The 14,938-nt window shown below is 39.3% G+C and overlaps 1 protein-coding gene across 2 annotated transcripts in view, besides 1 other annotated feature; it reads left to right on the top strand.

Annotated features, from left to right (window-relative positions):
* Nucleotides 1–14,938, top strand: part of KPNA3 (karyopherin subunit alpha 3) — a 93,363-nt gene that overhangs the window by 61,713 nt on the left and 16,712 nt on the right. For both annotated transcript variants that reach the window (NM_002267.4, XM_017020561.2), the window contains exons 7-10: nt 5,469–5,554; nt 8,407–8,493; nt 8,846–9,015; nt 11,151–11,195. In NM_002267.4, the coding sequence (NP_002258.2) occupies nt 5,469–5,554; nt 8,407–8,493; nt 8,846–9,015; nt 11,151–11,195 (388 nt within the window). The remainder of the gene's footprint in view (nt 1–5,468; nt 5,555–8,406; nt 8,494–8,845; nt 9,016–11,150; nt 11,196–14,938) is intronic.
* Nucleotides 5,931–6,431: an enhancer, noted in NCBI's record as "H3K4me1 hESC enhancer chr13:50298675-50299175 (GRCh37/hg19 assembly coordinates)". NCBI's record gives its function as "activates a minimal SCP1, AML or CMV promoter by ChIP-STARR-seq in primed H9 embryonic stem cells {active_cell/tissue: H9 hESC(primed)}" and the evidence as "EXISTENCE:reporter gene assay evidence [ECO:0000049][PMID:30033119]".

Raw genomic sequence — 14,938 nt, 5'->3', positions numbered from 1 at the left:
TCTCTATTAAAAAATATTAAAAAAAATCAGCCGGGCGTGGTGGCAGGCGCATGTAGTCCCAGCTACTTGGGAGGCTGAGGCAGGAGAATGGTGTGAACCTGGGAGGCGGAGGTTGCGGTGAGCCGAGATCGCACCACTGCACTCCAGCCTGGGCGACAGAGCAAGACTCCGTCTCAAAATAAATGAATAAATAGGGGGGAGGGGGGAGGGATAGCATTAGGAGATATACCTAATGCTGAATGACGAGTTAATGGGTGCAGCACACCAGCATGGCACATGTATACATATGTAACTAACCTGCACATTGTGCACATGTACCCTAAAACTTAAAGTATAATAATAATAAAAATAAAATAAAATAAATAAATAAATAAGTTCTATTCTACTTCTACCTTTAGGACCCTCCAGTTGTTCTTTTTTTTTTTTTTTTTTTTTTTTTTTTTTTTTTTTGAGACAGAGTCTCGCTCTGTTGCCCAGGGTAGAGTGCAGTGGTGCAATCTTGGCTCACTGCAATGTCTGCCTCCCGGGTTCAAGCGATTCTCATGCCTCAGCCTCTTTGAGTAGCTGGGATTACAGGTGTGGCTAATTTTTGTATTTTTAGTATAGATGGGGTTTCACCATGTTGGCCAGGCTGGTCTTGAACTCTTGACATCAGGTGATCCTCCTGCCTTAGCCTCCCAAAGTGCAGACATTACAGGCATGAGCCACTGGGCCCGGCCTAGGGCCCCTTGTTTGTGGCCAACTTCTCTTCTTCTTTTTTTCCTTTTCTTTCCAGTCTTTTATATGTAGACTCATTTGTGTGTCTGTGTCTATGAAACATAACATATAATACAGAAAAATATGCTAAAATATATACAGCTTAATGAATAATTATGAAACTCAGACCTCTGTAACCACCACCCAAAGCAAAAACAGAAAATTTTCCGTGATTTGGATCTGACTTTATGGATTTGTCATGGGAAGTTGTGTTATAATGTAAAAGGCCATATACTTTGGAGCCAGATTGACTGTGGTTCAAATCCAGGGTTTGCTGTTGATAAAAATCCACGTGGCTTTTGAACCTCAGCTATCTCATCTATAAAAATTAGGTGATGGTAAGGAATGGAAATAATACATACAAAGCACTCTACACAATGTCAAACTTATGATAAATGTCCATTTATTTTTTATTTTTATTTATTTATTTTTTTGAGACCGAGTCTCGCTCTGTTGCCCAGGCTGGAGTGCAGTGGCACAATCTTGGCTCACTGCAAGCTCCGCTTCCTGGGTTCACGCCATTCTCCTGCCTCAGCCTCCCGAGTAGCTGGGGCTACAGGCGCCTGCCACCACGCCCAGCTAATTTTTTTATTTCTAGTAGAGATGGGGTTTCACCATTCACAGGATGGTCTCGATCTCCTGACCTTGTGATCCACCCACCTCGGCCTCTCAAAGTGCTGGGATTACAGGCGTGAGCCACCGCACTCGGCCATAAATGTCCATTTGTTATTGCACTCGTTTTTTCTATATCTTTTCTCATTTTTTTTTATTTTTCCACATGACATCTTGAAAGACTTTCTTTGGCTTTATAATTTTATTTTTTACATTTATCCATTTTCTCATTTAAGTCCCCCATTCCCAGTATTTTGCCAAACCACCTAACCAGCTTAATAACTTTCTCCTTCCAGTCTGAGGCAACATATACTGTCTTACTGTTTTTGATCTTACTGTTTTTTTTACTTCTTCCCTGCCTCTGATATACCATCTTATTTCCTGCCTTCTGCTAGAATTCATCATATACAGGGGAAATTTTAAAAGTTTGTGGAAAAGTGGAATCAAAAGACAATAAAATATATGAAAGATAATAAATATATAAACTTGATTTCTCAACATAAGCTCCATCAAGGTCAAGACACTTTTGTAAGTGATACTACCAGCCATTGTCTATCCCTAAAGAACTGAGGGTCCTGGGAATTTAACCATGTCAGCGCAGTCTTTTTCATGATATTAACTGAAGAAAACTAGATGCCCTTTACAGGTTGTTTTTTTAAGATTAGGAAACAAAAAGAAGTCACAAGATGGCCAAATCAGAACTGTAAGGTGGATACCTAATGATTTCCTATTGATTCTCTTGCAAAATTGCTCTTGTTTGATGAGCAGAATGAACAGAAACATTGTGGTGGAGAAAGACTCTCTGGTAAAGCTCTCTCAGGCTTTTTTCTGCTAAAGCTTTGGCTGACTTTCTCAAAACACTCTCATAATAAGCAGGTGTTATCATTCTTTGGCCCTCTAGAAGGTCAACAAGAATAATACCTTGAGCATCCCCAAAAACTTTTTAGTCATTACCTTTCCTCCTGACCAGTCCACTTTTGCTTCGATTGTACTTTGTCTTTAGGATCATACTGGGAAAGCCATGTTTCATCTCCTTTTACAATTCCTTGAAGAAATACTTCAGGATCTTGATCCCTCTGGTTTAAAATTTTCATTGGAAGCTCTGCTGTTGTCTACGGCTTATCTGGGCACAATGGTTTTGACACCTATCAAGGGGAAAGTTTGCTCAACTTTAATTTTTCAGTCATAATTTTGTAAGCTGAACCAATCAAGATGTCTGGTATTGGTTATTGTTTCTGCTGTTAATCAGCAATCATCTTCTGTTAGGGCACGACCAAGATTAATCTTTTCCTCAGATATTGTTGTTGATTGTTTGCCGCTGTGGATTTCATCTTCAACATCGACTTGTCCTTTTTTTTTTTTTTTTTGAGACAGAGTCTCGCTCTGTCGCCCAGGCTGGAGTGCAGTGGCACGATATCAGCTCACTGCAAGCTCCGCCTCCTGGGTTCACACCATTCTCCTGCCTCAGCCTCCCGAGTAGCTGGGTCTACAGGTGCCTGCCACCACGCCCGGCTGACTTTTTGTATTTTTAATAGAGATGGGGTTTCACCGTGTTAGCCAGGATGGTCTCGATCTCCTTACCTCGTGATCCGCCTGCCTCAGCCTCCTAAAGTGCTGGGATTACAGGCGTGAGCCACCATGCCCGGCCGACTTGTCCCTTCTTAAAAGGAGTTAACCATTTGTAAACCGCTGATTTCTTTGGGGGCATTTTCCCCGTAAAGTTTTAAGTACATCAGTGAGTTCACCATTATTTCACCCAAGCTTCACCATAAATTTGATGTTTGTTTTTGCTTTAATTTTAGCAGGATTCATGTTGCTCTTCTAGGGGCTCTTTTCAGATTGATGACTTACCCCTTACCCCTCTTAGTGCCTCAAACTAGATCATGTTCAGACGTGTATAGAAAGTTAGTATGAGTTTATTTTGGTGCAAAAAAATTGAAATCCATGGAGTTTTTTTCATAATACACATTTTTAATGAGTTTTTTAAAGTCCCCTCATAGTTCTTCTCTGCTACTTCATTTTCTCATATGTTCCATCTTTTTAACCTGTATATCACTATTTGCTATATCTCTGACATCTATTCTCCTTAAAACCTTTTGTTCTTGGATCTCTTCAACCTTTTTTCTCTTTTTTCTTTCTTTTTTTTTTTTTTTTGAGATGGAATCTCTCTCTGTCGCCCAGGCTGGAGTGCAGTGGTGCAATCTCAGCTCACCACAACCTCCGCCTCCTGGGTTCAAGGGATTCTCCTGCCTCAGCCTCCCGAGCAGCTGGGATTATAGGCACGCACCATCATGTCCAGCTAATTTTTGTATTTTTAGTAGAGAGGGGGTTTTGCCATGTTGGCCAGGCTGGTTTCAAACTCCCGACCTCAGGTGATCCATCTGCCTTGGCCTCCCAAAGTGCTGGGGTTACAGGTGTGAACCACCTTGCCCGGACTTCTTTAACCTTTTGATACTAACAACCTTGCTTGCTCTCTTCCCTGTTTATAGGCTTTTCTTCAAACTCCCTAACCTTTGTCTAATCTTAATTTTTGCTGACTAAATCCCCCCAATCCTTGGTATTCCACTTAAGGGAATTTGTACTCTTTCAGCTATCCTAACTTAATATCTATCATTTCCTTTTAACAGGTCTTTCCTTTATGTCTTTTTTGTGACAGGGTTTCACTCTGTCACCCAGGCTGGAGTGCAGTGACACAATCACAGCTCATTGAATCCTCAAACTCCTAGGCTCAAGCAATCCCCCCATCCCACCCCCGCCCAGCATCCCAAGTAGCTGGGACTACAGGTGTGTACCACCACATCTGGCTGATTTTTTTATTTTTTGTAAAAATGGGGTCTCACCGTGTTGCCCAGGCTGGTTTCGAACTTTTTGGCTCAAGCGATCTGCCTGCCTCAGCCTCCCAAAGTGCTGGGACTACAGGTGTAAGCCCCAACATGTCTTTTAATAGGTCTCTCCTATATCAGCCTTTAACCTTTTTTAGCCATTCTGCATACCATTGATTTGAACATTATTTTCTTTCCTCCCTTTTTCAATGCCCCATCCTTAGCATATCTGTAGAATACACTCCTCACTCCCATCCTGAAACACACACACACATGCACAAACACCCTGTTACTTGCTTCTTAGTTAGTTTCAGCTCTCTTGATCTAATCCTTGTCGTTCCTACACATCATGATCCTTCCATGCATGATACCTGTTTTATTTCCCACTGTCACTGCCTTTCTTTTTAAATCCATCTTTGAAAAGCTAGTTCAGTTGTCACTTTCTTTGTGAGGTCTTCCATTACTATTCGAAAATATAATGATCTTGTTTTTTCAACAAAATTATACAGCCTTGTAATATCCCTAGTATGTAAAGCAGATGGTGTAATGGAGACAGATGGGGTTCTAGCTTTAAGACCAGCCTAGAGCGTGTGATAGTGGTTAAAGTGAGATGATGAGGGCCTCAACTAGCACTTGATATTAGGGGTGATTATATAAATGTAAGAAATGTTTAAGAGGTAAAATCGACATGATATATTGATTAGATGTGTCTGTGGAGAGGAAGTCGAAGTCAAGGGAAATAATGACTGGCTAAATGTTGTAATACCAGTGGACATAAAGAAGCAGGTTCATAGTGACTGGCTTTGGGAGCCAAAGAGATTTTTTAAGTAGAGATGGCTGCTGGGTGCAGTGGCTCATGCCTATAATCCCAGCACTTTGGGAAGCCGAGGTGGGCAGATCACCTGAAGTCAGGGGTTCAGGACCAGCCTGGCCAACATAGTGAAACCCTATCTCTACTAAAAGTACAAAAATGAGCCAGGTGTGGTGATGTGCACCTGTAATCCCAGCTACTTGGGAGGTGGAGACGAGAATCACTTGAACCCCAGAGGCAGAGATTGCAATGAGTCAAGATGGCGCCACTGCACTCCCGCCTGGGTGATGGAGGGAGACTCCATCTCAAAAAAAAAAAAAAAGTAGGGTTGGCTAGCAGGCAATTGGATTATAACAAGGTGAAATTCAAGGACAAGGCAAAGAATAGCCATATCTTATCAGTCTTAAGATTCATTAATTTAAGTGGTAGTTATGTGTCTAAAAAGATGTGTTATTGTTTTTTTACAGTCCTTCATTACAGTTTGAAGCTGCTTGGGCATTAACTAACATAGCATCAGGAACTTCTGCACAGACTCAAGCTGTTGTGCAGTCTAGTAAGTAAATTCCTTACTGTCTGAACTTTTTGTGTTTTAATGATGGCAAGGAAGTAGAGTTTTGTAATAAAGAAATTTTATCTTGTAACATTTTTTAAATGATGACTTTTATAAGTTACTTTTGATGACCGATATCTTTTTCATAGCCGTCATTAATTTATCATGAAAAATTTTTAATTGTGGTTATTAAAAGAAGAGTAGAGTTTTATCTTTTGGAGTAGACATCATGCTGTGATAACAGGATTTTAAATTCCGTTTCTGATATCTTCAAGATGCTGAATGGCTTCTGCCTTTTAGCTTATGACATATTTTAAATTTTACTTTCCTCAAGATGGGCTAATAATTATTGTTAAATGACACTGACACAAGCTCTTTAGAAAAGTACTAGATATCACCACGTACGTTATTATAGTATGGGACACTTAGCTAATTTTAGGTGTGGTAATCAAGGTGATTTTAAGTAGCATGTGATATGGCAGTAAGTTACATTGAATCATGTATTGAGAATACTATTCTCACCAGACCCACAGGTGGCTCATGCCTCTAATCCCAGCACTTTGGGAGGCTAAGGCAAGCAGATCACTTGAGTTCAGGAGTTCAAGAACAGCCTAGGTGACATGACAAAATCGTGTCTCTACAAAATATTTAAAAATTAGCATTGCATGGTGGCGCATGCCTATAGTCGCACCTACTCAGGAGACAGAGGCGAGAGGATCGCTTGAGCCAGGGAGGCAGAGGTTGCAGTGAGCCGAGACTGCACACTGCATTCCAGCCCCGGCGACAGAGTGAGACCCTATCTCAAAAACAAAGGCTGGGTGCAGTGGCTCAAGCCTGTAATCCCAGCACTTTGGGAGGCCGAGGCGGGTGGATCACGAGGTCAGGAGATCAAGACCATCCTTGCTAACATGGTGAAACCCTGTCTCTACTAAAAATACAAAAACAAAATTAGCCGGGCATGGTGGCGGGCGCCTGTAGTCCCAGCTGCTTGGGAGGCTGAGGCGGGAGAATGGCGTGAACCCGGGAGGCGGAGCTTGCAGTGAGCCGAGATCGTGCCGCTGCACTCCAGCCTGGGTGACAAAGCGAGACTCCACCTCAAAAAAAAAAAAAAAGTTATCATGTGACCCAGCAGTTCTACTCCTAGGTGAAACCAAGAGATATGAAAACATATTCATACAAACACTTGTACATAAATATTCACAGCAATGTTATTCATAACTAACCCAAATGTTCATTAACCGAGGAGTGGATAAAGTGAATGTGGTGTATACAATGGAATACAATTCAGCAGTAAAAAAGAATGAAGTACCAATACCTGTTACCACATGGATGAACCTGAAGAATGTTAAGTGAAGTCAGACCCCCCAAAAAACACAGTATGATTTCATTTGTATGAAATGTCCAGAATAGGCAAATCTGTAAAGACAGAAAGCAGATATTTAATGGTTGCCTGCCGCTTGGGGAATGTGTGGCAGAGGAACAAATGTGGAATGACTGCCTTAAGTATGAGATTTCTTTTTTCTTTTTTCTTTTCTTTTTTTTTTTTTTTTAAGACGGAGTCTCGCTCTGTCGCCAGGCTGGAGTGCAGTGGCGTGATCTCAGCTCACTGCAACTTCCGTCTCCTGGGTTCAAGCAATTCTCCTGCCTCACCCTCCCAAGTAGCTGGGACTACAGGCACACACCACCATGTCCAGCTAATTTTTGTATTTTTAGTAGAGACGGGGTTTCACTATGTTGGCCAGGATGGTCTCAACCTCTTGACCTCGTGATCTGCCCGCCTCGCTTCCCAAAGTGCTGAGATTATAGGTGTGAGCCACTGTGCCCGGCTGAGTATGATATTTTTTTTTTTTGAGACAGAGTCTTGCTCTGTCACCCAGGCTGGAGTGCAGTGGCACGATCTTGGCTCACTGCAACCTCCGTCTCCCTGGTTCAAGCAGTTCTCTGCCTCAGCCTCCAAAGTAGCTGGGATTACAGGCGCCCACCACCACGCCCGGCTAATTTTTATATTTTTAGTAGAGACAGGGTTTCACCATCTTGGCCAGGCTGGTCTTGAACTCCTGACCTGGTGATCCATCTGCCTCGGCCTCCCAGAGTGTTAGGATTACAGGCATGAGCCATCATACCCAGCCAAGATTTCTTTTGAGGTCCTGGAAATGTTATAAAATTAGATTGTGGCGATGTCCTCACAACTCTGTATAAATATGAAATGTCATTGAATTACACACTTAAATGTAAATTTATTGTAATTATATCTCCGTAAAGTTGTTAAAACTGAATTAATTTAAATTTTAAGTAAATAATACAAGTAATACACAGATACAGCAAAAAAAAAAAAATGAGGTAGTGCACAGTTGATTGAAATTTTTAAAAAGTGATCTAGCTTATGCTGGAAATGGGTATAATGTATACATTCTGTAAAGAGTAAGGATTATGAGAAATTATTTTAAAGTATAAGATAGACCTGATATGAGATTAATCAGTTCTTTGGTTAATCCCCGTATCAGGAATTGAGATTTTGTAGACTAAAGCATTACATTTTAAGGTTACATGTTTGGGGTAGGAACTCTTTTTTTTTTTTTTTTTTTTTTAATGGATTATAGGAAGGATTTCATGCTGTTGCTTTCTTTTAGTTAATGGTATGATAGCAACCTTTAGATACTGCCAGTTGGTTACGGTACTTGACTATTACTAGGGGAAAATACTGAAATTGATTCTTTTTAGGGTAAAGATATTTGCCACATTTGTTCTTCCAGCTACAATATGCCAGGCTGTGTATTTGATCAATTTCTTTGATCTGAAATCTGTAAACTCTTCAACATGTTGCTAGTATAAATATTAGTTTTTCTTTATTACAGATGCAGTACCTCTTTTTCTGAGACTTCTTCGTTCACCACATCAGAATGTTTGTGAACAAGCAGTATGGGCTTTGGGAAACATTATAGGTAAGTGGTTTGAAAGGAATCCTCTTAAGAATCTAAATTAACTTTTTTCCTACATTGGCATAGCCATTACATACTATGTTTCCTCTGAATTTAATGTGTGTTGACTCTCTTCTTGCCTCATAAGTACTGACTTAAGATGATGCTCTTTGAAAAGGATATACAGTTTGCTGTTAGCATTGGTAGGTTAAATTTACGTTCCCCAGATCAAAATCTGGAGAAACAACACTTGATGCCTTTGACTAATGGTGAGGAAACATAGAACGTCAGTGTTCCCACATGAGCCATTGCATACATTTCAGACTTTCTCATCCTGAATGTAAGTTTTTTTTAAATATAATTTTCATTTCTGTAGGTGATGGTCCTCAATGTAGAGATTATGTCATATCACTGGGAGTTGTCAAACCTCTTCTGTCCTTCATCAGTCCCTCCATCCCCATCACCTTCCTTCGGAACGTCACATGGGTCATTGTCAATCTCTGCAGGAATAAGGATCCCCCGCCGCCTATGGAGACAGTTCAGGAGGTAAATGAAGAATTGTAAAGGCCAGATGGTATATTTTCCCTATGTTTGTACTTCAGGAATTCATATACAGGGGACAAAATAATACATATACTGATTTCATTGCAGGTGTGAGTTTTTTGTTTGTTTGTTTGTTTGATAACGGAGTCTTGCTCTGTCGCCCAGGCTGGAGTGCAGTGGCGCGATCTTGGCTCACGGCAAGCTCCACTTCCTGGGTTCACGCCATTCTCCTGCCTCAGCCTCCTGAGTAGCTGGGACTACAGGCACCCGCCACCACGCCTGGCTAATTTTTTTGTATTTTTAGTACAGACGGGGTTTCACCATGTTAGCCAGGATGGTCTCGACCTCCTGACCTCGTGATCTGCCCGCCTCGGCCTCCCAAAGTGCTGGGATGACAGGCCTGAGCCACCACGCCCAGCCACAGGTGTAAGATTTTAAAAGTAACGTACCATATTTAATTACTCCTATGAAATAAAAGTTGAGTGTCTTACTGTACCTGAAAGAATGTCAGTTCATCCTAATGCCTATTTTTTTGATTATCTGCATAAAAAGAAAATATAAAAATTCAGAGAGAAAAATACAAAAGGAAAACAATCTCAAAGTTTTATTACTGTATTGCATTGTTGGTTTAAAGCTATAAAAGGGGGTTGCTACAGGCAAAACTAGTATACTTACATGCAAATGTTCTTGAATGAGTTTGCTTTAAGTCCAATTGATTTTTTTTCTTCTTCTTCTTCTTTTGAGACAGTCTTGTTCTATTGCCCAGGCTGGAGTGCAGTGGCATGATCTCAGCTCACTGCAGCCTCTGCCTCCTGGGTTCAAGCGAGTCTCGTGCCTCAGCCTCCTGAGTAGCTGGGATTACAGGCCAGCGCCACCACACCCGGCTAGTTTTTGTATTTTTAGTAGAGATGGGGTTTCACTGTGTAGGCCAGGCTGGTCTCAAACTCCTGACCTGAAGTGATCTGCTCACCTCAGTATCCCAAAGTGCTGGGATTACAGGTGTGAGCCACTGCCCCCACGGCCTAACTCCAATTTATTACTGACAAAATTGGAGTTCTTAAAAGTGTGACATATTTTTTGTTAAATCTACTAATTAAAACAAAGTAAAAACTTTTTTATTTACATTTGATATGTAAATAGATCCTTGTGCTTTGCATTTTAAAAAAAAATCCTACATAACCTTTATTCACTGTTGACTGTGTTATCTCTTTTTTTTTTTTTTTTTTTTGAGACAGTCTCGCTCTGTTTCCCAGGCTGGAGTGCAGTGGCACAATCTTTGCCCACTGCAGCCTCCACATCCGGGGTTCAAGCGATTCTCATGTCTCAGGCATGTGCCACCATGCCAGGCTAATTTTTGTATTTTTAGTAGAAATGGGTTTTCACCATGTTGGCCAGCTGGTCTTGAACTCCTGGCATCAAGCAGTCCACCCACCTCACCCTCCCAAAGTGGTGGGATTACAAGCATGAGCCACCACACTTGGCCAACTGTGTATCTTTATAATGGACATCTTTCTCTAGTACCTGCTACTTTTTGTTGCTATGCAAAGGTATTTTGTGTGATTTCCTACAACCCCCTGCTCCCTTTCTCCCATATTTTAAAAAGAGATCTCTGGGGCCTGAATTTAACAAGCAAAGCTTTGTACTTTGTACTGGTTCGAATTTTCTTGACTAAAGGTGAAGTTGAAAACTTTAATTTGACTTAAGTAGCTTATTAAGTAAAATCGTATTTTTACGTTAAGCAGGTAAGTGAGACAATTACGGCAGTTTTAAGTGTAGCTTTTCTTAAATAGCTGTAACTGTATATTTGCATCTCCATTTTTTCCACTTGACATTTTATGCCATAAAGAAGGTTATTAAAAACAAATGTTTTTATTTTAAGGTACATTAACTTCTGCCAGATTTATTTGGATATTTTAACTTGTTAATTGAACATATTTCAGTTTAACATTTGAGATATGTTTTTGGTTTTTTTAGATTGAATTTATCAGGTTTTCATTTTCCTAAAAGATATTCAGACAAATTTAACATTGTCTTTCTCGCCCTACAAACCATATTTACCGCTTTTTATGTCAAAGTTGTTCATTTTTACAGACATATTAATTAACTAATGTTAAGTATTGTTTATTTTCTTTCCTCAGATTTTGCCAGCTTTATGTGTCCTCATATACCATACAGATATAAACGTAAGTTAAGAAGCAGCTTAAATGTGGGATTTTGCTCTTGATGGGACAGAAAGGGTTTTTATGTAAGTGTCAGCATACATTTTATCAACTTGTCAAGTTTCTACAACGTATTTACAGTTTTCAGAAATAGGATTAAGCTTAAATTAGGTTTATAGCTTAAATCTGTAAGCAGTAACAGCCAGACAGCAAAAATGCTCACTTTTGAGAAATTACTGCATATGTAGTTTATTTCTGTCATTATTAAGTAGTGTTTTTAAACCTTAATATTTGTAAAGCGGTAAAACCTCATGAAACACCTTACTTTTTAAAAAAAATCTCACTGGTTCTTACAACAGATAGGCTAGATATTATTCCCCCCATTTTATAGAATAAGAAGAAACGGACTCTCAGAGAGAGATTAAATGACTTATCTAAAGTGGAAGAGCTAGTAAGGGTCAGAGTCAATATTCAAATTAAAGTCTTCTCATAACAGGTCTTGGGTACTTGTCACAAAACCATGCTGCCTTTTTATGCTACAGTCTTTTTAGATATAGTATAGAAGAATATATAGTTTTAAATGCAAGGCATTTTTAGGTGATTTTTTTTCATTATATTCAGATTTAGTGAAGCATTTACTGTCAACGTTCTGGCAAGTTTGATACTATCTAGGCAATCTGAAAATTCTCCTAAATGCAGTAAGGTAAATTGTTACTTTTCCATGGAGTAAAACAGTGGATAAATTTCGGTGACTAGTGTTGATCCAGTTTCTTTTATTCTAACTAACATCTCTTTCTGATTTGTTGTATATTTGTGTTTTTGTAATCTTTATCTACATACACATAACATGTACATACATATGTGTATATGTGTGGCAGAATTGTGAATTGTGTGTAATTTATCATTGGGACAAAGAAATACATCTTTGCTTACCTTTCTCACAAGGCAATATAATTTGTATATAAAAATTGTATCACATTACTCTAGCTCATTTGCAGATTTTAAGCTCTCAGGATGGAATCTTTTAAAGGTAGCTAAAGTCACTTCGTGTTTGACACAGCCTAAAATGTCATTAAAATGAAGTAAAACATGTTTATATGCCGTCTTATTTCCAAAATGGATATAAAGTGACTTAACAAAAGACATATAAGATAATATCTGTAAAGGAAAAAGTAAAATTTATACAGAAGTTTAGTTGTTGCTGTTGAAAGGTAAGTTTAGTTGTAAGCTTTCTGACAGCAAAGATTAAAAGGGGAATAAGCAAAATATCTGCTGTTTGCCTCAGGACTTTCCCCCAGAACATTATAGAATTAATTATAGGCAAATAAAAGCTTTCACCATCTGTTGGTTGTGTTTATGTGAAAGCTGGGGTATTAAAGTGGCAGTGTACTGTAGTTACAGGTATATTAGTCAAGTTTAGCAAACACTCACAAATTATTCCACTTAAAGCCAGAATTGTGCCATGAATTGTACACTCAGTGATAAGACATAAAGAGACCATGCCTTCTAAGACCTTAACATTAAAGATGTAAAAAGAGTTAAAAGGAAAGAACTTATGTCAAGAAATTGCTGTGCTGGATCTCTCTGTAGACTCCTTTTATCTTACCAGTATCCTTGTAAGATAAGTTTTATTCTTCTATTTTACAAATACAGAGATTGAAACTCGGTAAAGTTAAATAATCTTTCTAAGGTCATGCAATGAATGAGAGCCATACCTGAGAACTGAAGCCAGGTCCAAGGCCTGTGCTTTTTCATACCATGATCACATATTCAGTATAATCCATAGGCTCACAGTGAAAAAAAAAATCATACCATAAGCACATAAACATAAAACATGGTATGAAAGCCAACAAGAAAAAAGGTAAGATAGAGCAGTGACCAAAGTGCTTTATTATGGAAGCACAGATAATTTTGCTAGCGAAGCAGAAAGCTTCGTTGACAAAGTAACATTTGAGACGAGCATTATAAGGAGACAGAAGTGGGGACAGAGTCAAAGATTATAGTGTTCATAGTTACCATTTATTGAGTTTAAAATCTGCCAGGCACTGTTTTAAGCACTTTTGCTATGTTAACCCATTTAATTCTTACAAAATTCTTGTGAGATTGGTACTCTCATTATCTCCATCATCTACAAACGTTGTAAAAGAAGCAGAGGTACTTAAGTAATTTGTCTCATGTCATATAACTAGGATGAATAGGATTTTCACAGGTTGAGAGAAAGTCATTTCAAGAACACGGGGGAAGATATTAAGAACTCAAGAATACATGGAGGTTTAAGAGAATACATGTAGATAATAACCTAATACGTTCGCTAAGGAGTTAATTTGCAGAGTCTTTGATTCTTTTTTTTTTTTTTTTCTTTTTTTTCCGAGATGGAGTCTTGCTCTGTCACCCAGGCTGGAGTGCAGTGGCGCGATCTAGGCTCACTGCAACCTCCGCCTCCCGAGTTGAAGGAATTCTCCTGCCTCAGCCTCTCCAGTAGCTGGGATTACAGTGCATGCCACCACTCCCTGCTAATTTTTTATATGAGTTTTTGATTCTATATTAAAGAGTTTTAAGTTTATCTTGTAATGACTGCAGAGTCATTGTAGATTTTTTAAATCGAGAAATGATATTTGTTTTATACAGATAAAATTATCTGTAACAGACAAATAACACAAATATGGAAGGTTTGAAGTAGGGAAAGTTTGACTGTAGGTAGATGTATTTTGCTATCATAATAGGTTTAGGGAAGTTGATGAAGGCATGGACTATTACTAAATTGCAATAATAGGAATCGTTAAGGGAGAAAAAACTTTGAGTGTTAGGAAATAAAGTGAGTAGAACTTGGAACTTGTTGTTCCTCAGTGGCGGTATTTTCCAAAAGCAAAAGACAATACAGATTTTGGATTCGTCAGTATTTAAGGGATTGATGAAAACCTGGGCATTGAATGAGATCACCTGGAGGAGGCTGTATTTCGGAAGGAGGGCTAAAAATGTAACTTAGGAATTCCTGGCGTTTCAGGAATGGCAGCAAGGGAAGAAGAACCAACAAAGGAGTTTTTAAAAGTAGTATGATGATGGCTGGGCACGGTGGCTCATATTTGTAATCCTAGCACTTTGGAAGGCTGAGGACAGTGGATCACTTGAGGTCAGGAGTTGAGACCAGCCTGGCCAACATAGCAAAACCCCGTCTCTACTAAAAATACAAAAATTAGCTGGGCATCATGATGCGTGCCTGTAATCCCAGCTACTTGGGAGGCTGGGGCAGGAGAATCGCTTGAGTCGGGGAGGTGGAGGTTGCAATGAACCGAGATCACGCCACTGCACTCCCACGTGGGCAACAGAGCGAGATGCTGTGTTAAAAAAAAATAATTAAATAAAATTAAAGTGTGATAGAAGCATAAAATGTGGAACAAATAGTGGGGAAAAAATAAGGCAGAGATTTAATAGGTTCTAGATCATATAGTCTTGTCTAAAGAACTACATACCCTTTTTATGTAGTAGATAAGGAGCCAGAGAATAAATGGTCAAATTTTTTTTTTAGGTTGATAGCTCAAAGGCTAATATAGATCAAAGGCAAGAAAATCGCTTGAGCCCAGGAGTTCAAGCCCAGCCTAGGCAACATACTGGGACCTCATCTCTAAAAATAAAAAATTAGAGACTACAAGTATTTGCAGTTTCAGGGTGCCTAACACCCAGCTGTAGCTTATCTTCTCCCAGCCTTTGAGATATTGTCATGGAGACCCCACTGAAAACCATTAGTTGAGCTCAGTCTACAATTTCAT

Source organism: Homo sapiens, chromosome 13 (genome assembly GCF_000001405.40).
Source record: "Homo sapiens chromosome 13, GRCh38.p14 Primary Assembly".
NCBI classification, from domain to species: domain Eukaryota; kingdom Metazoa; phylum Chordata; class Mammalia; order Primates; family Hominidae; genus Homo; species Homo sapiens.
This window is presented reverse-complemented; position numbering and strand designations above follow the sequence as displayed.